The 21,602-nt window shown below is 51.7% G+C and overlaps 1 protein-coding gene across 1 annotated transcript, besides 4 other annotated features; it reads left to right on the top strand.

Annotated features, from left to right (window-relative positions):
* Positions 29-78: a silencer, noted in NCBI's record as "silent region_10223". NCBI's record gives its function as "represses an Ori minimal core promoter by ATAC-STARR-seq in GM12878 lymphoblastoid cells {active_cell/tissue: GM12878}" and the evidence as "EXISTENCE:reporter gene assay evidence [ECO:0000049][PMID:35858748]".
* On the top strand, positions 50-21,506 carry IL27RA (interleukin 27 receptor subunit alpha). Its single transcript, NM_004843.4, has 14 exons — positions 50-260; positions 674-791; positions 7,796-7,953; positions 8,041-8,198; positions 10,741-10,900; positions 11,004-11,077; positions 14,442-14,625; positions 14,718-14,906; positions 17,269-17,370; positions 17,444-17,602; positions 19,046-19,171; positions 19,895-19,988; positions 20,168-20,261; positions 20,384-21,506. Exons 1-14 carry the CDS (start codon positions 161-163, stop codon positions 20,576-20,578), a joined length of 1,911 nt encoding a protein of 636 aa, NP_004834.1. The 5' UTR covers positions 50-160; the 3' UTR covers positions 20,579-21,506.
* Positions 89-208: a silencer, noted in NCBI's record as "silent region_10224". NCBI's record gives its function as "represses an Ori minimal core promoter by ATAC-STARR-seq in GM12878 lymphoblastoid cells {active_cell/tissue: GM12878}" and the evidence as "EXISTENCE:reporter gene assay evidence [ECO:0000049][PMID:35858748]".
* Positions 219-268: a silencer, noted in NCBI's record as "silent region_10225". NCBI's record gives its function as "represses an Ori minimal core promoter by ATAC-STARR-seq in GM12878 lymphoblastoid cells {active_cell/tissue: GM12878}" and the evidence as "EXISTENCE:reporter gene assay evidence [ECO:0000049][PMID:35858748]".
* Positions 11,107-11,607: an enhancer, noted in NCBI's record as "H3K27ac hESC enhancer chr19:14153631-14154131 (GRCh37/hg19 assembly coordinates)". NCBI's record gives its function as "activates a minimal SCP1, AML or CMV promoter by ChIP-STARR-seq in primed H9 embryonic stem cells {active_cell/tissue: H9 hESC(primed)}" and the evidence as "EXISTENCE:reporter gene assay evidence [ECO:0000049][PMID:30033119]".
* Positions 21,507-21,602: the final 96 nt, after the last annotated feature.

Genomic DNA, 21,602 nt, shown 5'->3' on the forward strand with positions numbered 1-21,602 from the left:
AAGGGGCGGGGACCCTGAGCGAAAGGTGCGGAGGCGGCCTGCCGGGGTGGTTCGGCTTCCCGTTGCCGCCTCGGGCGCTGTACCCAGAGCTCGAAGAGGAGCAGCGCGGCCGCGCGGACCCGGCAAGGCTGGGCCGGACTCGGGGCTCCCGAGGGACGCCATGCGGGGAGGCAGGGGCGCCCCTTTCTGGCTGTGGCCGCTGCCCAAGCTGGCGCTGCTGCCTCTGTTGTGGGTGCTTTTCCAGCGGACGCGTCCCCAGGGTGAGTGCTGGAGGGAGCTCGTGTCCCGGGCGCTGCCGCTGCGCTCCCCGCGAAGGCGCCAGTGCTCCAGGATAAGCCACGCGTATGCAGAGCGAACGGTAGAGGTGCAGGCGCCACTCGGCTCCTCCCGGGGCAGGGACCCGGCGACACTGGGGAATGGGCGGCAGCGAGGTCGAACCGGAGCCCCGGGGCGGGGTGGGGGAGCTCTCTGGGTGGTTAACAGGATGTGGCGAGCACAGGGAAAGGGGGGGTTTGCACGGAGCCCGGGCAGGGGTGCCTAGCGCCTCCCTTCCTGCTGCTCATTTCCCTAAGCCCCCCCACCTTGCAATTGTCAGAAGTCCAAGTTCTGGGGTGTGCAGGCGGAAGGGGGGGATTCGACCCCCTTTCCTGAGACCCTCTGACTCCCTCTCCAGGCAGCGCCGGGCCACTGCAGTGCTACGGAGTTGGACCCTTGGGCGACTTGAACTGCTCGTGGGAGCCTCTTGGGGACCTGGGAGCCCCCTCCGAGTTACACCTCCAGAGCCAAAAGTAGTGAGTACAGGGAGGTGACGTGGGGAAACAGGCTTTGGAGGTGGCCGCTCAGGCCCCAGGCTGCTTTGGTTGAAAGGTTCCAGGAGTCAAGCCTGGCCAACATGGTGAAACCCTGTCTATACTAAAAATACAAAAAAAAAAAAAAAAAAAAAATTACCCAGGGGTGGTGGCGCGCGCCTGTAGTCCCTGATACTCAGGAGGCTGAGACAGGAGAATCGCTTGAACCCGGGAGGCGGAGGTTGCAGTAAGCCCAGATCTCGCCACTGCACTCCAGCCTGGGGGACAGAGGGAGACTCTGTCTCAAAAAAAAAAAAAAAAAAAAAGAAAAGAAAAGAAAAGAAAGTCCCAGGAGTCTGCCCCCCTCCCCCAATACTCCTCCACTCCTTCAATTCTAGCTTCCCTCGTTTCTTTGCTGTGTCACCCTGGGCAAGTCACTTTCCCTCTTTGAGTCTCCTTTTCATTTCTCTATTAAATAGCAATCATAGGGCCAGGAGAGGTGGTTTGCACCTGTCATCCCAGCATTTTGGGAGGCCGAGGCGGGAGGATCGCTTGAGCCCAGGAGGAGTTCAGAGTTTTAGAGAGCCCGTCACTTTTTTTTTTTTTTTTTTTTGAAACGGAGTTTCACTCTTGTTGCCCAGGCTGGAATGCAATGGTGTGGTCTCGGCTCACTGCAACCTCCACCTCCTGGGTTCAAGCGATTCTCCTGCCTCAGCCTCCAGAGTAGCTGGGATTACAGGCATGTGCCACCATGCCTGGCTAATTTTTGTATTTTTAGTAGAGGGGGGAGGTTTCACCATGTTGGCCAGGCTGGTCTTGAACTCCTGACCTCAGGTGATCCACCCGCCTCAGCCTCCCAAAGTTCTGGGATTACAGGTGTGAGCCACCGTGCCTGGCCGAGAGCCCGTCTCTTAAAAATATAAAATATAATATAAATAAAGGGAAATAGGCCAGGCGCAGTGGTTCACACCTATAATCCCAGCACTTTGAGAGGCCGAGGTGGGCAGATTACTTGAGGTCAGGAGTTCAAGACCAGCTGTAGTAATTCCAGCTACTCGGGAGGCTGAGGTGGGAGGATCACTTGAACCCAGGAGGCAGAGGTTGCGGTGAGCTAAGATCGTGCCATTGCACTCCAGCCTGGGTGACAGAGTGAGACTCTGTCTCAAAAAAATTTTAAAAAATAAAAGCTGGCGTGGTGGCTCACGCCTATAATCTCAGCACTTTGGGAGGCCGAGGCGGGCAGATCACGAGGTCAGGAGTTCGAGACCAGCCTGACCAACATGGTGAAACCCTGTCTCCACTAAAAATACAAAGATTAGCCGATGTGGTGGTGCATGCCTGTAATCCCAGTTACTCAGGAGGCTGAGGCAGGAGAATTGCTTGAACCCAGGAAGTGGAGGTTGCAGTGAGCTGAGATCGCACCACTGCACTCCAGCCTGGCCGACAGAGCGAGACTCCATCTCAAAAACACTAAAAATAAAAAATAAAAAAGGGAAATAATAACAGAACCTGCCTCCGAAGGTTAAGTCTGAGGATTCAAAGAGTTAGGTGCTTGGCAAGGAGAAAGTTGCTTCATAATGTGAACCTGGTTTTTATTGCTGTGTGACATTAGGCAAGTCACTTAACCTCTCTGAGCATGTTAAAAGATTATTCAGTGTGGTGCTGGGGATGCTGCAGTGAAAGAGGTAGACAGAAAGCCCTGCCCACAGTCCAAGGACTCCATGTGTTTCTTCATGATGAATCATACCTGGAAACTCATAATTTCAAATTGGGCTAAGTGAGGGAAGAGGAAAAGAGTCAATGAAAGATAAGAATGGGAGACAGAGGTCCTGGATTTTTTTTTCTTTTTAATATTAATGGTTAAAATACACACAACAGGCCCTACACGGTGGCTCACGCCTGTAATCCCAGCACTTTGGGAGGCCGAGACAGGCAGATCACCTGAGGTCAGGAGTTGCAGACCAGCCTGGCCAACATGGTGAAACTCCGTCTCTACTAAAAATACAAAAATTAGCCAGGCGTGGTGGCACATGCCTGTAGCCCCAGCTATTTGGGAGTCTGAGGCAGGAGAATCGCTGGAACTCGGGAGGCAGAGGTTGGAGTGAGCCAAGATCGCGCCACTGTACTCCAGCCTGGGTGACAGAGCAAGACTCTGTCTAAAAAAAAAAAAAGGCCGGGCGCGGTGGCTCAAGCCTGTAATCCTAGCACTTTGGGAGGCCGAGGCGGTGGATCATGAGGTCAGGAGATCGAGACCATCCTGGCTAACACGGTGAAACCCCGTCTCTACTAAAAATACAAAAAAATTAGCTGGGCGTGGTGGCTGGCGCCTGTAGTCCCAGCTACTCAGGAGGCTGAGGCAGGAGAGTGGCGTGAACCCAGGAGGCAGAGCTTGCAATGAGCCGAGATCGCGCCACTGCACTCCAGCCTGGGCAACAGAGCGAGACTCCGTCTCAAAAAAAAAAAAAATTCATACAACATAAAACTTAACGATATTTTTAAAAATTTGTTTTGGGAACAGGGTCTTACTCCTGTTGCCCAGGCTGGAGTGCAGTGGGGCAGTCAGTTCACTGCAGCGACTTCTCAGGCTCAGGTGATCCTCCCACCTCAGCCTCCCAAGTAGCTGGGACTACAGGCATGCAACACCATGCCCAGCTAATTTTTTAAATATATATTTTTAGTAGACACAGGGTTTTACCATGTTGCCCAGACTGCTTTCGAACTACTGGCCTCAAGAGATCCACCTCCTTTGTCCTCCCAAAGTGCTGGGACTACAGGCGTGAGTCACTGTGCCTGGCCAAAATCTACGATCTTAACCATTTTTAAGTGTCCAGTTCAGTGGCATTAAGTACATTCCCATGGTGCTATCCCGGTTACCATTCACCTCCAGAAGGGGGCCTAGTTTTTTTTTATTTGAGATGGAGTTTCGCTCTTGTTGCCCAGGCTGGAGTGCAATGGCGCGATCTCGGCTCACTGCAACCTCCGCCTCCCGGGTTCCAGCAATTCTCCTGCCTCAGCCTCCAGAGTAGTTGGGATTACAGGCACACGCCACCACGCATGGCTAATTTTGTATTTTTAGTAGAGATGGGGTTTCTCCATGTTGGTCTGGCTGGTCTCGAACTCCCGACCTCAGGTGATCCACCCACCTGGGCCTCCCAAAGTGCTGGGATTACAGGCAGAAGCCACTGAGCCTGGCGGGGGGCCTAGTTTTAATTGGTACAGGGAGGGGGAGTCAGAGAAGCCACATCTTTTCTATTTTTATTTTAGTTTTATTGATTTATGTATTGATTTTATTTATTTTGAGAAGAGGTCTTGCTCTGTCACCCAGGCTAGAGTGCAGCGGTGCGATCATAGCTCACTGCAACCTCAAACTCCTGGGCTCCAGCCATTTTCCCTCCTCGGCCTTCCCAGTAGTTGGAATTACAGGAATGTGTCACCATGACCAGCTAATTTTTAAAAATTTTTTGTAGTGGTAGCTCACGTCTGTAATCCCAGCACTTTGGGAGGCCGAGGCAGAAGGATGGCTTGAGCCCAGGGGTTGGAGACCAGCCTGGGCAACGTAGTGAGACCCGTCTCTATTAAAAAAAAAAAAAAGAAAGAAGAAGAAGAAGAAGAAGAGGAAGAGGAGGGAAAAAAGTAAGAATAATTTTAAAAGTAAATAAATAAATAATTTTTTTGGTAGAGACAGAGTCTTGCTCTGTTGCCTAGGGTAGTCTCAAACTCCTGAGCTCAAGCGATCCTCCCATCTTGCCCTCCCAAAATAATGGAATTACAGGTGCTACTATGCCCAGCCTGAGATTTTGTACTCTTTGGCCATCATCTTCTCCCCCTAGCCTCTGTAGTCACCAGTTTACTCTGCCTCTAGGAGGAGTTCAGATGTTTTAGATTCCACGTATCAATGAAAACATGTGGTGTTTGTCTTTCCGTGTCTTATTTCACGTAACATAATGTTCGCCATTTCCATCCACATTGTTACAAATGACAGGATTTCCTTTTTTTTTTTTTTTTTGAGACAGAATCTGGCTCTGTCACCCAGGCTGGAGTGCAGTGGCGCGATCTCAGCTCACTGCAACCTCTGCCTCCCCGGTCCAAGCGATTCTCGTGCCTCAGCCTCCCGAGTAGCTGAGATTATAGGTGCGCATCTCCACATCTGGCTAATTTTTGTATTTTTAGTAGAGCCGAGTTTCACCATGTCAGCCAGGCTGATCTCAAACTCTTGATCTCAAGTAATCCACCCACCTCGGCCTCCCAAAGTGCTGGGATTACAGGCGTGAGCCACCACGCACAGTGTATTTTCTTCTTTTTTAAGGTTGAATAGTATTCCATCGTGTATGTATACCACATTTTTTTTTTTTTGAGACAAAGTCTCGCTCTGTCGCTCAGGCTGGAGTGCAATGGCGTGATCTCAGCTCACTGCAACCTCTGCCTCCAGGGTTCAAGCGATTCTCCTGCTTTAGCCTCCTGAGTAGCTGGGATGACAGGCATGCGCCATCACACCTGGCTAATTTTTGTATTTTTAATAGAGACGGGGTTTCGCCATGTTTGTCAGGCTGGTCTCGAACTCCTGACCCGAACTCTGCCTGCCTTGGCCTCCCAAAGTGCTGGGATTACAGGCATGAGCCACCGTGCCCGGCCCCACATATTCTTGATCCATACATCTGGTGATGGACACATTCCATATATTGGCTGTTGTGAATAGTGCTGCATTGGGAAGACACGTCCGTTGGACAAACTGATTTCATTTCCTTATTTATATATTTATTTTTACTTTTTTTTTTTTTGAGACAGAGTCTCACTCTGTTGCCCAGGCTGGAGGGCAATGGAGCAATCTCAGCTCAATGCAACCTCCATCTTTCGGGTTCAAGTGATTCTCCTGCCTCCCAAGTAGCTGGGACTACAAGCGTCTGCCAGGACACACGGCTAATTTTTGTATTTTTAGTAGAGATGGGGTTTCACGATGTTGTCCAGGCTGGTCTCCAACTCCTGGCTTCAAGTGATCCGCCTGCCTCGGCCTCCCAAAGTGCTGGGATTACAGGCGTGAGCCACCACGCCTGGCCCCTTCTTACTATTTGTTAAACACACCAGGCACAGTTTGGCCTCCAGGTCTTTGCACCCTGTGTTTCCTCTTCCTGGAATGCTGTTCTTCTAGCTACTGCATGGTTCTGTCCTCATCTCCTTCAGGCCTTTATTCAAATGTCTCCTCAGGCTGGGCGTGATGTCCCTGCACCTGTAATCCCAACACTGGGAGGCCAAGGGGGATGGTGCGGGGGATTGCTTGAGGCCAGGAGTTCGAGACCAGTCTGGCCAACAGAGTGAGACCCTCTCGCTCTCTCTCTCTTTTTTTTTTTTTTTGAAATGGAGTCTTGCTCTGTTGCCAGGCTGGAGTGCAGTGGTGCGATCTCGGCTCACTGCAACCTCCAACTCCCTGGTTCAAGCGATTCTCCTGCCTCAGCCTTCCGAGTAGCTGGGATTACAGGCACGTGCCACCACGTCCAGCTAATTTTTGTATTTTTAGTAGAGACGGGGGTTTCACCGTGTTGGCCAGGATGGTCTCGATCTCTTGACTTCGTGATCCACCTGCCTCGGGCTCCCAAAGTGCTAGGATTACAGGCGTGAGCCACTGCACCTGGCCTGTCTCTCTCTTTCTATATATGGTGCTTTTGTTGCTGTTTTTGAGACAGGGTCTTATCCTGTCACCCAGGCTGGAGTGCAGTGGCATGACTGCAACTCAACCTCCTGGGCTCAATCGATCCTCCCACCCCAGCCTCTCAAGTAGTTGGAACCACAAGTGCGCGCCACTACCCCTGGCTAATTTTTAAAACATTTTTTGTAGACATGGGGGTCTCAGTATGTGACTGCTTGAGGCCAAGAGTTAGAGGAGACCAGCCTGGGCAACATAGCAAGACCCCATTTCTACAAAAAATTTAAAAATTAGCTGAACATTGTGATGCACACCTGTTATCCCAGCTACTCTGGAGGCTGAGGCAGGAGGATTGCTTGAGCCTAGGAGTTCAAGGTTGCAGTGATCTATGATCGCACTGCTCCAGTTACAGAGTGAGGTCGTGTCTCTAAAAAAAAAAAAAAAAAAAAAGAGAGAGAGGAAAGGGCCGGGCGCAGTGGCTCACGCCTGTAATTCCAGTACTTTGGGAGGCCGAGACAGGCGGATCACCTGAGGTCGGGAGTTCGAGACCAGCCTGACCAACATGGAGAAACCCTGTCTCTACTAAAAGTACAAAACTAGCCGGGAGTGGTGGCGCATGCCTGTAATTCCAGCCACTAGGGAGGCTGAGGCAGGAGAATCGCTTGAACCTGGGAGGCAGAGGTTGCGGTGAGCCAAGATCGCACCATTGCACTCCAAGCTGGGCAACAAGAACAAAAATCTGTCTCAAAAGAAAAAAAAAAGAGAGAGAGAAAGCAAGGAAGGAAGGGAGGGAGGGAGGAAAGAAGGGAGAGGGAGAGGAAGGGAAGGAAAGAAAGAAAAAGAGAGAGAGAAAAGAGCAGTTATGACCAGGTATGGTGGCTCATGCCTGTAATCTTAGCAATTTGGGAGGCCGAGGTGTGTGCATCACTTGAGGTCAGGAGTTCGAGACCAGCCTAGCCAACATGGTGAAACCCCATCGCTACTAAAAACACAAAAAAATTGGCCAGGTGTGGTGGCACACGCCTATAATTCTAGCTACTTGGGAGGATGAGGTGGGAGGATCACTTGAACCCAGGAGGCAGAGGTTGCAGTAAGCCAAGATCACGACATTATACTCCAACCTAGGTGACTGTCTTAAAAAAAAAAAAGAAAAAGAGCAGTTACTTTTATTACCCTCATTTTGTAGATGAGGAAACTGATGCACAGAGAAGTTAAGTCACTTACTCAAGGTCACACAGCTCTGAAGCAGCAGAGGTGGGATTTGAACCCAAGCAGAGCAGGCTGCAGCCACTCTGTTGGCACAAGGGTGGTTATCAGTGGCCCTGGCTCTAGCCGAGTGTGCATCTCATCCCCGCCTCTCTCCTCACAGCCGTTCCAACAAAACCCAGACTGTGGCAGTGGCAGCCGGACGGAGCTGGGTGGCCATTCCTCGGGAACAGCTCACCATGTCTGACAAACTCCTTGTCTGGGGCACTAAGGCAGGCCAGCCTCTCTGGCCCCCCGTCTTCGTGAACCTAGAAACCCAAAGTAACGTGGCAGGAGGGTGGGCGCTCTATGCGGGGTGGGTGCTCTTGGAGGGCGTGGCTCACTACACCCTAGTTTCCCCTTCCCCAGTGAAGCCAAACGCCCCCCGGCTGGGCCCTGACGTGGACTTTTCCGAGGATGACCCCCTGGAGGCCACTGTCCATTGGGCCCCACCTACATGGCCATCTCATAAAGTTCTGATCTGCCAGTTCCACTACCGAAGATGTCAGGAGGCGGCCTGGACCCTGGTGAGTGCTGGGGTCCTTTTCTCCCCACCCTATTCCGGGCGGGGACTGAGGCAACATCTCCTAATCTGAGACCCAGCCCAGGACTCATTCTGTGCCTGCCCCTGAGCCTGTATGCCTCCCACTCAAAATGCCTGCATGTGCCTCTTGTTCAGCTACAAATTCTCCTCCCATGGCTGGGCACGGTGGTTCACGCCTGTAATCCCAGCACTTTGGGAGGCTGAGGGGGATGGATCACTTGAGGTCAAGAGTTCGAGACCAGCCTGGCCAACATGGTGAAATCCCATCTCCACTAAAAATACAAAAATTACCTAGGCATGGTGGTGGGCGCCTGTAATCCCAGCTACTGAAAGCTGAAGCAGGGGAATCACTGGAACCCGAGAGGCAGAGGTTGCAGTGAGCTGAGATTGGGCCACTGTGCTCCAGCCTGAGCTACAGAGTGAGACTCAGTCTCAAAAAAAAAAAATTTTTTTTCTCCTGCCAAAATAATCTATCACCCGGTCACAGTGGCTCATTTCTAAAATCCCAGCACCTTGGGAGGCTGAGGCAGGAAGATTGTTTGAGGTCAAGAGTTTGAGACCAGCCTGGGCAGGATAGCAAGACTCGTCTCTAAGAAGTTAAAAAATAATCTGACCAGGTGCGGTGGCTCACACCTGTAATCCCAGCACTGTGGGAGGCCAAGGAGAGTGGATCACCTGAGGTCAGGAGTTCGGGACCAGCCTGGCCAACATGGTGAAACCCCATCTCTACTAAAAATACAAAAAAGTAGCTGGGCGTGCTGGTGGGTGCCTGTAGTCCCAGCTAATTGAGAGGCTAAGGCAGGAGAGAATCACTTGAACCCAGGAGGTGGAGGTTGCAGTGAGCTGAGATCGTGCCACTGCACTCCACACTCCAGCCTGGCAACAGAGCAAGACTCCGTCTCAAAAAAAAAAAGAAGAAGAAGAGTTCAGAATTGTGATTATTCATGCAATTCAGAGCAACACTGAGATGCAGAATTTTTTTTTTTTTTTTTGAGATGGCGTTTTGCTCTTAATTGCCCAGGCTGGAGTGCAATGGCATGATCTCGGCTCACTGTAACCTCCACCATCTAGGTTCAAGCGATTCTCCTGCCTCAGCCTCCCGAGTAGCTGGGATTACAGGCATGTGCCATCATGCCCGGCTCATTTTGTATTTTCAGTAGAGACGGGGTTTCTCCATGTTGGTCAGGCTGGTCTTGAACTCCTGACCTCAGGTGATCCACCCACCTGGGCCTCCCAAAGTGCTGGGATTACAGGCATGAGCCACTGCACCCGGCCCCCTTTTTTTTTTGAGACGGAGTCTCACTGTGTTGCCCAGGCTGGAGTGCAGTGGTGCCATCTCAACTCACTGCAACCTCCACCTCTCAGGTTCAAGTGATTCCCCCACCTCAGCCCCTCAAGTAGGTGGGATTACAGGCATGTGCCACCATGCCCAGCTAAGTTTTTGTATTTTTTTTAATAGAGATGGGGTTTCGCTATTTGGCCAGGCTGGTCTCGAACTCCTGACCTCAGGTGATCCACCCACCTCCACCTCCTAAAGTGTTGGGATTACAGGCGTGAGCCACCTCACCCGGCTGAGATGCAGACTTTGGAATCTGACTACCTCAGTGCTCAGCTCCAGCACACCAGCTCTGTGACCTTGGGCTAGTCACTTTCCCTCTCTGGGCCTCAGTTCCCTCGTCTGTAAAACGAGATAATAATAGAAGTTACCACTTCCTGCTATACCTAGCACATAGAGTGACCACCTTTTCTCTGTCTGCTCGGGACTGTGGCAATTTTTTTGACAGGCCCATGTTCTGGAAACCCCCTTGGTCCTGGGCAAATACAAATGGTTGCTCACTCTGCTGATAGATAAGTTCAAGTACCAGCTAGGCGCAGTAGCTCTAATCCCAGCACTTTGGGAGGCCGAGGTGGGCAGATCACCTAAGGTCAGGAGTTCAAGACCAGCCTGGCCAAGATGGTGAAACCCCGTCTCTACTAAAAATACAAAAATTGGCTGGGCTTGGTGGCTCACACCTGTAATCCCAGCACTGTGGGAGGCCGAGGCGGGCGGATCACGAGGTCAGGAGATCGAGACCATCTTGGCCAACATGGTGAAACTCTGTCTCTACTAAAATACAAAAAATTAGCTGGGCATGGTGGCGCGTGCCTGTAATCCCAGCTACTTGGGAGGCTGAGGCAGGGGAATCGCTTGAACCCAGGAGGCAGAGGTTGAAGTGAGCTGAGATCGTGCCACTGCACTCCAGCCTGGCGACAGAGCAAGACTCTGCCTCAAAAAAAAAAAAAAAAAAATTAACCAGGTGTGGTGGTGGGTGCCTGTAATCCCAGCTACTCAGGAGGCTGAGGCAGGAGAATTGCTTGAACCCAGGAGGGAGAGGTTGCAGTGAGCCAAGATCACACCACTGCACTCTAGCCTGGGCCACAACGAGACTGTCTCAAAACGAAAAACAAAGGAAAAAAAAAAAGATAAGTTCAAATACCCTTGACTCAGGCCCTGGGCCCATCACGCTCGCCTGTCTCTCCCCCAGCTGGAACCGGAGCTGAAGACCATACCCCTGACCCCTGTTGAGATCCAAGATTTGGAGCTAGCCACTGGCTACAAAGTGTATGGCCGCTGCCGGATGGAGAAAGAAGAGGATTTGTGGGGCGAGTGGAGCCCCATTTTGTCCTTCCAGACACCGCCTTCTGGTGAGGATATCTGGGCTTGCCCTCAATCCACGCCCCTCCCACCCCCAGAAGTCTGTCCAATCATGTCCCACTCATTTGTTCCCCGTTTCCTCATCCTTGCCAGCTCCAAAAGATGTGTGGGTATCAGGGAACCTCTGTGGGACGCCTGGAGGAGAGGAACCTTTGCTTCTATGGAAGGTGAGCTTCAGGCACCAGTTACATTTCTCTGCACGTGTTAGGAAACCCCTAAATAACAATGACATAAGGCCGGATGCAGTGGCTCACGCTTGTAATCCCAACACTGCTGTGGGAGGCCGAGGAGGGTGGATCACTTGAGGTCAGCAGTTGGAGACCAGCCTGGCCAACATGGTGAAACCCCATCTCTACTAAAAATACAAAACTTCACGGGGAGTGGTCGTGGGCGCCTGTAATCCCAGCTACTCTGGAGGCTGAGGCAGAAGAATCACTTGAACCCAGGAGGTGAAGGTTGCAGTGAGCCGAGATCACACCACTGCACTCCAGCCTGGGCAACAAGAGTGAAACTCCGTCTCCAAAACAAAAAACAAACAAAACCCAATGACATAAACAAGACAGAGTTTACCATGCTGCCCCCTTGAGGTTGCTTCGAAGATTCAAGGATGGGTTGCTAAAGTGGTCAGCACAGGGTGGGGCATGGAGCAAGTCTCCACCAATGTCAGCTGCTTCCGAGAGGTCTGAGCCATAAGGATGGGTGCAGATATTCCGGGCAGGGGCAGCAGATGCAAAAACCTGACAGCGAGACTGGAGCTCAGCTCCAGAAAATATAACACAGTGTGCTAAGAGTTTATTTATTCATTTATTTATTTTGAGATGGAGTCTCGCTCTGTTGCCCAGGCTGGAGTGCAGCAGCGTCATCTCATCTCAGCTCACTGCAACCTCCACCTCCCAGGTTCAAGCCATTCTCTGCCTCAGCCTCCCAAGTAGCTGGGATTACAGGTGCCCCCCCACCACGCCCGGCTAATTTTTGTATTTTTAGTAGAGATGGGGGTTTCACCATCTTGGCCAGGGGGGCCTTGAACTCCTGACCTCATGATCCAGCCACCTCGGCCTCCCAAAGTGCTGGAATTACAGGCGGGAGCCACCGCGCCTGGCCTGTGCTAAGAGTTTAAATGCTAGTATCAAAAGGGTATTAATAGGCTGGGCATGGTGGCTCATGCCTGTAATCCCAGCACTTTGAGAGGCTCAGGTGGGCAGATCACTTGAGGTCAGGAGTTCGAGACCAGCCTGGCCAACATGGTGAAACCCCATCTCTACTAAAAATACAAAAATTAGCTGGGCCTGGTGGCAGGCACCTGTAATCCCAGCTACTTAGGAGGCTGAGACAGGAGAATCGCTTGAACCTGGGAGGTGGAGGTTGCAGTGAGCTGAGCTCGAGCCACTGCACTCCAGTCTGGGCAACAAGAGCAAGACTCTGTCTCACAAAAAAAAAAAAAAAAAAGGTATTATAAAATGGCTGACAAGGTGCAATTATCCTCACTGATTCAAATCTGTGAAGCACCTGCTATGTGCCAGGTGGCATTGCTTGACCCTTGCTCTCAGTAAATAAGCAAAGGAACACGATGACAGGTGTGGTTTTCCACCTTCTTAGACCACACAATCCAGTATCTTTTATTTATTTATGTATTTGAGATGGAGTGTCACTCTTGTTGCCCAGGCTGGAGTGCAATGGGGCGATCTTGGCTCACCGCAACCTCCGCCTCCTGGGTTCAAGCGATTCTCCTGCCTCAGCCTCCTGAGTAGCTGTGATTATAGGCGCCCGCCACCACACCCGGCTAATTTTTGTATTTTTAGTAGAGACGAGGTTTCACCATGTTGGCCAGGCTGGTCTCGAACTCCTGAAATCAGGTGATCTGCCCACTCGGCCTCCCAAAGTGCTGGGATTACAGGTGTGAGCCACCGTGCCTGGCCGATATTTTAAAAAATTAAATCAGCAAACTAGAGTTCAAGGACCAACTGCCTGTTTTCAGAAATACAGTTTGATTGGAACCAAGACCAGGGTTAGGGAGGTGAGCAGGGTAGGGTCACACAGGTGCAGGATCAAATCCTGTTTTTACTTTAAAATCTTGATATTTTGGACCGAGTGGGTGGCTCATACCTGTAATCCCAGCACTTTGAGAGTCTGAGGCAGGAGGACCACTTGAGGCCAGGAGTTCGAGACCAGCCTGGGCAACATAGCAAGCTACCCATCTATACAGAGAATAAAACATTACCAGGGGCCGGGCACAGTGGCTCAGCCTGTAATCCCAACACTTTGGGAGGCCGAGGCGGGTGGATCATAAGGTCAGGAGTTCAAGACCAGCCTGGCCAAGATGGTGAAACCCCCATCTCTACTAAAAATACACAAATTAGCCGGGCGTGGTGGCAGGCACCTGTAATCCCAGCTACTTAGGAGGCTGAGGCAGGAGAATCTCCTGAACCCGGGGAGGTTGCAGTGAGCTCAGATTGCGCCACTGCACTCCAGCCTGGGTGACAGAATGAGACTCTGTCTCCAAAAAAAAAAAAAAAAATTAGCGGGGTGTGGTGGCATGCGTCTATAGTCCCAGCTACTGGGGAGGCTGAGGTGGGAGGATCACTTCAGCCTAGGATGTTGAGGCTGCAGTGAGCTATGATTGCACCACCGCACTTCAGCCTGTACAATAGTGAGAACTTATGTCAAAAAGAAAAAAAAAAAAAAGATGGCTGGGCGTGGTGGCTCACGCCTGTAATCCCAGCACTTTGGGAGGCCGAGACGGGCGGATTTTTTTTTTAAGAGACAAGGTCAGGAGATCAAGACCATCCTGGCTAACATGTGAAACCCCGTCTCTACTAAAAATACAAAAAATTAGCCGGACGTGGTGGCAGGCGCCTGTAGTCCCAGGTACTGGGGAGGCTGAGGCAGGCGAATGGCGTGAACCCGGGAGGCAGAGCTTGCAGTGAGCCGAGATGGCGCCACTGCACTCCAGCCTGGGCGACAGAGCGAGACTCTGTCTCAAAAAAAAAAAAAAAGTTGATATTTTGTTTGTCATGGGTTTTTAGGCATTAATTTTCATTTATTACAATACTGCATTAAAATATTATTTATCTCACTTATTGGGTTTTTGGTATCCCCCACTCCCTTTTAAATTTTGCACCTGGCCAGGTTTGCTGACTCACGCCTGTAATCCTAGCACTTTGGGAGGCTGAGGCAGGCAGATCACTTGAGGTCAGGAGTTTGAGACCAGCCTGGCCAACATGGTGAAACCCCGTCTCTACTAAAAATACAAAAATTAGCCGGGCGTGATGGCAGGCGCCTGTAATCCCAGCTACTCAGGAGGCTGAGGCAGGAACATCGCTTGAACCCGGGAGGTGAAGGTTGCAGTGAGCCGAGATCACGCCACTTCACTCCAGTCTGGGTAACAGAATGAAGACTCCGTCTCAAAAAACAAACAAACAAACAAACAAAAAATGCTTCACTGACCGGTGGTTTATCAGGTGACCTCAGGGAGACACATATATGTGCGTGATTAATGGGAGACATTAACCCCTTTTTCCCTTCATCTCTCAGGCCCCAGGGCCCTGTGTGCAGGTGAGCTACAAAGTCTGGTTCTGGGTTGGAGGTCGTGAGCTGAGTCCAGAAGGAATTACCTGCTGCTGCTCCCTAATTCCCAGTGGGGCGGAGTGGGCCAGGGTGTCCGCTGTCAACGCCACAAGCTGGGAGCCTCTCACCAACCTCTCTTTGGTCTGCTTGGGTAAGAGACTGTGACCTTCCTCAGCTCGGTGCCCTGGAGGGGTGGGAAGTGACTTCCTGAGTGGGCAGCTGAGACTTCTCTCCACCCTCCAGATTCAGCCTCTGCCCCCCGTAGCGTGGCAGTCAGCAGCATCGCTGGGAGCACGGAGCTACTGGTGACCTGGCAACCGGGGCCTGGGGAACCACTGGAGCATGTAGTGGACTGGGCTCGAGATGGGGACCCCCTGGAGAAACTCAACTGGGTCCGGCTTCCCCCTGGGAACCTCAGTGCTCTGTTACCAGGTGAGGCCCTGGGACACCTGGGTCTCCATCCCCGCTGTTAGAGCAGACGGATGGGTGGACTTGTAAGAGGGAGTGCTATGATTAAAGTAGCGTGATGGCCGGGCTTGGTGGCTCATGCCTGTAATCTCAGCACTTTGGGAGGCCGAAAGGGGCGGATCACCTGAGGTCAGGAGTTGGACACCAGCCTGGCCAACATAGTGAAACCCCGTCTCTACTAAAAATACAAAAATTAGTGGGGCGTGGTGGCACATGCCTGTAGTCCCAGCTACTCGGGAGGCTGAGGCAGGAGAATCGCTTGAACCTGGGAGGTGGAGGTTGCAGTGAGCCGAGATTGCGCCACTGCACTCTAGCCTGGGTGACAGAGTGAGACTCAGTCTCAAAAAATAAATAAATAAATAAATAAATAGCGTGAATTCACACAAGACTTTTTTTTTTGCTTTTTGGAGGCAAGATCCCACTCTGTGGCCCAGGCTAGAGTGCAATGGTGCCATCTCAGCTCACTGCAACTTCCATCTCCTGGGTTCAAGTGATTCTCGTGACTCAGCTTCCCGAGTAGCTGGGACTATGGGAGCGTACCACCACAATCGGTTAATTTTTTTTTTTTTTTTTTAAGTAGAGACGGGGTTTCACCATGTTGGTTTGGCTGGTCTCCAACTCCTGACCTCAAGTGATCTGCCTGCCTTGGCCTCCCAAAGTGCTGGGATTACAGGCATGAGCCACTATGCCCAGCCTAACTTTTCTTTTTTTTTTTTTTGAGATGGAGGCTGGCTCTGTCACCCAGGCTGGAGTGCAATGGTGTGATCTCAGCTCACTGCAGCCTTCACCTCCCGGGTTCAAGCGATTCTCGTGCCTCAGCCTCTGGGGAGTGACTGGGATCACAGGCCCCCACCGCCATGCCCAGCTAATTTTTTTATTTTTAGTAGAGACGGGGTTTCACCATGTTGGCTAGGCTGGTGTCAAACTCCTGACCTCAAGAGATCCACCCGCATTGGCCTCCCAAAATGATGGGATGACAGGGGTGAGCCACCATGCCTGGCCCTTTTTTTTTTTTTTTTTTTGGAGTCTTGCTCTGTCGCCCAGGCTGGAGTGCAGTGGTGCGATATCGGCTCACTGCAAGCTCCACCTCCTGGGTTCACGCCATTCTCCTGCCTCAGCCTCCCGAGCAACTGGGAGTACAGGCGCCCGCCACCACGCCCGGCTAATTTTTTTTTTTTTTTGTATTTTTAGTAGGAACGGAGTTTCACCATATTAGCCAGGATGGTCTCGATCTCTTGACCTCGTGATCTGCCCTCCTCAGCCTCCCAAAGTGCTGGGATTTCAGGCATGAGCCACCGCACCCGGCATTTTTTTTTTTTTAAGAGATGAGTCTCACTCTGTCAGCCAGGCTGGAGTGCAGTGGCGTGATCTCAGCTCACTGCAGCGTCGACCTCCATGGCTCAAGCAATCCTCCCACCTCAGCGCCCTGAGGAGCTGGTATTACAGGCATGCGCCACCAAGCCCAGCCAGTTTTTGTATTTTTTGTAGAGGTGGGGTTTCTCCATGTTGCCCAGGCTGTTCTTGAACTCCTGAGCTCAGGCAATCCACCTGCCTTGGCCTCCCAAAGTGCTGGGATGACAGGCATGAGCCACGGTACCTGGCAAGAAATCTTTATAAATAAATAAATAAATAAATAAATTAATTAATTAATGAACTTGGAAGAACTGTGAAGATGTTGGGTAAGAAATTTAGGACACAGTCCCAAGACCCACAAGGATATATGAACCAAAGAAGCGAAGGCCCAATTATGGAAAATTCCCAGTTGGGGAAGGCTATGTGGATGTGATAGGGTTTAGGGGAGAGAGTGCAGCACCCTCAGCTACCATGGTAGGTGCTGTCAGTTGCCTGCTCATATCTGTTTGACCACCTCAGAGGTTTTAGGCCTCTCTCCCAGCTGCCCACACTTGTTTCCTGGCCTAAGGGCTTTTTCTGGTCACTGAGGCATTTTGCCTGCCTGAGAAGCAAGATGGAAATATTGAGAAGAGCCCTCAGGAACAGCCCTCAGCATGACTAATGAGGCTTGGTGGATAAATACCCCAGCTCCGTCCCCCTGAGCTGGGCTGACTCTGCGATGCCTGCTCTCTGCTGGCCCCTAGAGGTCCCCCATGGGACTGCGTCTCAGTTGTCCACAGTGAGAACCTGTTCCTTCCCCATTTCACTCCCCTACTGCCCTATTGGGGTTTTCTGGGATTACCTCCTAGATAAATGACTTACAGTCAGATCCTTATCTCAGGGTGTCCTTCTGGGGACCCCAGTGAAGACACCTAGGAAATGAGCATGGGAAGGAGAGCCAACTCTAACTGGTCTTTATTTCTTTGTCACTCAGGGAATTTCACTGTCGGGGTCCCCTATCGAATCACTGTGACCGCAGTCTCTGCTTCAGGCTTGGCCTCTGCATCCTCCGTCTGGGGGTTCAGGGAGGAATTAGGTAAGAGTGGGGCTGGAGGATGGGGGGGCTTCTGTAACCCAGGCCGACCTTGACCTACTGCCTTCCTCCCCAGCACCCCTAGTGGGGCCAACGCTTTGGCGACTCCAAGATGCCCCTCCAGGGACCCCCGCCATAGCGTGGGGAGAGGTCCCAAGGCACCAGCTTCGAGGCCACCTCACCCACTACACCTTGTGTGCACAGAGTGGAACCAGCCCCTCCGTCTGCATGAATGGTGAGCTTCCCTGCCTGCTGACCTGTCCTCCCAGCCCCCACAAGACCCACCCATCAGTCAGCCCCACCCCTTGTCCCCACGTGGGCCTCTTTGGCCCAGGGACCATACATGGTGTCCTCAATTCCCTCTTGGCTATCAATGTAACGAGCTTTCATTCGGCCATTAAAAATGAGGATGCCAATCTATATTTATTGACATTGAAAGATGCTTGTCATATTTTATTAGTGAAAAAGATAAAAGGATGTTAAAATTCCGTGGTATGGTTCCATTTTTTTTTTTTTTTTTTGAGACAGAGTCTCGCTTTGTCACCAGGCTGGAGTGCAATGGCACGATCTCAGCTCACTGCAACCTCCGCCTCCCAGGTTCAAGCAATTCTCCTGCCTCAGCCTCCTGAGTAGCTGGGATTACAGGCGCATGCCACCATGCCCGGCTAATTTTTGTATTTTTAGTAGAGACAGTTTCACCATGTTGGTCAGACTGATCTCGAACTCCTGACCTCGTGATCCACCCACCTCAGCCTCCCAAAGTGCGGGGATTATAGGTGTGAGCCACTGCGCCCGGCCTATATATAATTTTAAAAATATATATAGAAGGCCCGGCATGGTGGGTCACGCCTGTAATCCCAGCACTTTGGGAGGCCAAGGCAGGCAGATCACTTGAGGTCAGGAGTTCGAGACCAGCCTGGCCAACATGGTGAAACCTCATCTCTACTAAAAATACAAAAATTAGCCAGGCATGGTGGCACAGCCTGTAGTCCAGCTACTCAGAAGGTGGCTGAGGCACTAGAATTGCTTGAATCCGGGAGGTGGAGGTTGCAGTGAGCCAAGATCATGCAAAGACAAACTAAATAATATCTAAGCAGTGTATGAGATGGTGATAAGTGCTGAGTAGAGAATGAAGCAAGGGGCTGGGCAAGGTGGCTCACACCTATAATCCCAGCACTTTTGGAGGCCGAGGTGGGCAGATCACCTGAGGTCAGGAGTTTGAGACCAGTCTGACCAATATGGTGAAACCCAGTCTCTACTAAAAATATAAAAATTAGCCAGATGTGGTGGCGGGCACCTGTAGTCCCAGCTACTCAGGAGGCTAAGACAGCAGAATTGCTTGAACCCAGGAGGCAGAGGTTGCAGTGAGCTGAGATCACATGACTGCACTCCATCCTGGGCAACAGAGTGTTACAGAGCGAGACTTCATGTCAAAAAAAAAAAAAAAAAAAGAGAATCAAACAAGGAAGGTGGGTGGTGAAGGGGGTGCAATTTCAAATAGAGCGGGGTCAAGGAAAGCCTCACGGAAGAGGTGACCTTTGAGCAAAGACCTAAAAGAGATGAGGAGGGAGCCATGTGGATACCTGGGAGAGAGTGTTGCAGACAGCAGGAAGAGCACATGCAAAGGCCCTGTGGTAGGCTTGACCACCTCCCCAACTTCTTTGGTTGTGTTCTCCAGTGAGTGGCAACACACAGAGTGTCACCCTGCCTGACCTTCCTTGGGGTCCCTGTGAGCTGTGGGTGACAGCATCTACCATCGCTGGACAGGGCCCTCCTGGTCCCATCCTCCGGCTTCATCTACCAGGTAGGGGGGTTGGGATGGGATTGCCACAGGGAGGGGATGTACTCCACAGTGGGGAGAGGTAGCATCTGGAGTCATTACTTGGAAGCTAGGTGCAGTGGCTCACCCCTGTAATCCTAACACTCTGGGAGGCTGAGGCAGGTGGATCACTTGAGCCCAGGAGCTCGAGACCAGCCTGGGCAACATAGTGAGACCCCCTTCTCTACAAAAAATAAAACAATTAGCTGGATGTGGTAGCATGCGCCTGCGGTCCCAGCTCCTGGAGAAGCTGAGGCTCGAGGATCGCTTGAGCCCAGGAGTTGGAGGCTGCAGTACACGGATTACACCACTGCGCTCCAGCCTGGGCAACAAAGCAAGACCCTGTCTTTAAAAAATTAAGAATTGCCAGGCACAGTGGCTCACGCCTGTAATCTCAGCACTTTGGGAGGCCGAGGCGGGTGGATCAGTTGAGGTCAGGAGTTCGAGACCAGCCTGGCCAATGTGGTGAAACCCCATCTCTACTAAAAATACAAAAATTAGCTGGGCGTGGTGGCGTGCGGCTGTAATCCCAGCTACTTGGGAGGCTGAGAGAGAATTGCTTGAACCCAGGAGGCGGAGGTTGCAGTGAGCTGAGGTCGCACCACTGCACTCCAGCCTGGGTGACAGGGCAAGACTCTGTCTCAAAAATAAAAATAAAAAATAAAATAAAATAAAAAATTAAGAATGATCTCTTCCCTACCCTACCAGATAACACCCTGAGGTGGAAAGTTCTGCCGGGCATCCTATTCTTGTGGGGCTTGTTCCTGTTGGGGTGTGGCCTGAGCCTGGCCACCTCTGGAAGGTGAGGCTGTCGGATACATGCATCTCTACCCACGTGGGGAAGGCAGCTGGGCATTTTGCTGAGCTTCCAGGGGGCTTGAAGGGAGGCCTCAGGGCGCAGTCACATTCATGAACCCTGCACCCTGGGCTGGGGCATCTGGCCATCTGGATCTGCTGCCCTGACTACTCCTGTCTTGCCAGGTGCTACCACCTAAGGCACAAAGTGCTGCCCCGCTGGGTCTGGGAGAAAGTTCCTGATCCTGCCAACAGCAGTTCAGGCCAGCCCCACATGGAGGTGAGTCAAAGGGCCGGCTAGTCGGAGCCCTCTGGGGGACTGGGGAGTCCTGGGGCAGTGGGGAGGGGGTGAGGTGTGGGTCGGGGAGGCTGGGGCAGGATTACAGGCTCATCTCTTCCCAGCAAGTACCTGAGGCCCAGCCCCTTGGGGACTTGCCCATCCTGGAAGTGGAGGAGATGGAGCCCCCGCCGGTTATGGAGTCCTCCCAGCCCGCCCAGGCCACCGCCCCGCTTGACTCTGGGTATGAGAAGCACTTCCTGCCCACACCTGAGGAGCTGGGCCTTCTGGGGCCCCCCAGGCCACAGGTTCTGGCCTGAACCACACGTCTGGCTGGGGGCTGCCAGCCAGGCTAGAGGGATGCTCATGCAGGTTGCACCCCAGTCCTGGATTAGCCCTCTTGATGGATGAAGACACTGAGGACTCAGAGAGGCTGAGTCACTTACCTGAGGACACCCAGCCAGGCAGAGCTGGGATTGAAGGACCCCTATAGAGAAGGGCTTGGCCCCCATGGGGAAGACACGGATGGAAGGTGGAGCAAAGGAAAATACATGAAATTGAGAGTGGCAGCTGCCTGCCAAAATCTGTTCCGCTGTAACAGAACTGAATTTGGACCCCAGCACAGTGGCTCACGCCTGTAATCCCAGCACTTTGGCAGGCCAAGGTGGAAGGATCACTTAGAGCTAGGAGTTTGAGACCAGCCTGGGCAATATAGCAAGACCCCTCACTACAAAAATAAAACATCAAAAACAAAAACAATTAGCTGGGCATGATGGCACACACCTGTAGTCCGAGCCACTTGGGAGGCTGAGGTGGGAGGATCGGTTGAGCCCAGGAGTTCGAAGCTGCAGGGACCTCTGATTGCACCACTGCACTCCAGGCTGGGTAACAGAATGAGACCTTATCTCAAAAATAAACAAACTAATAAAAAGCAAAAAAAAAAAAAAAAGAAAAGAAAAAACACTGCATTTGGGCACCATCTCAGCTCCCTTGCATCCAGGTGCAGCATGGACTGAGTTCTTGACAACAGAATGTGGTCAGAAGTGACATATGCCAACACGGGGTCTGGGTGGGGGCTCCCCCACATCCTTTCCTTGCCTATGAGCTGGAACATAACACATGCCTATGATCCAGCTTTGGTCATACCCAAGGGGAAGGTGGAGCAAGAAATGAAAAGGAACCTGAATCCCTGAATGACTGCATGGATAGAACCACTAAGAAAAATAAACTTTTATATTTTTATAGCTACTGTAGCTTTGAGGTCTTTTTGTTACAGCAGCTCAATCTATACTCTCACTGATTCATAATCTTTGACTGTAGCAGGGTTAAGCCTCAAATTTCCCA

This window comes from Homo sapiens, chromosome 19, assembly GCF_000001405.40.
Source record: "Homo sapiens chromosome 19, GRCh38.p14 Primary Assembly".
In the NCBI taxonomy this organism is placed as follows: domain Eukaryota; kingdom Metazoa; phylum Chordata; class Mammalia; order Primates; family Hominidae; genus Homo; species Homo sapiens.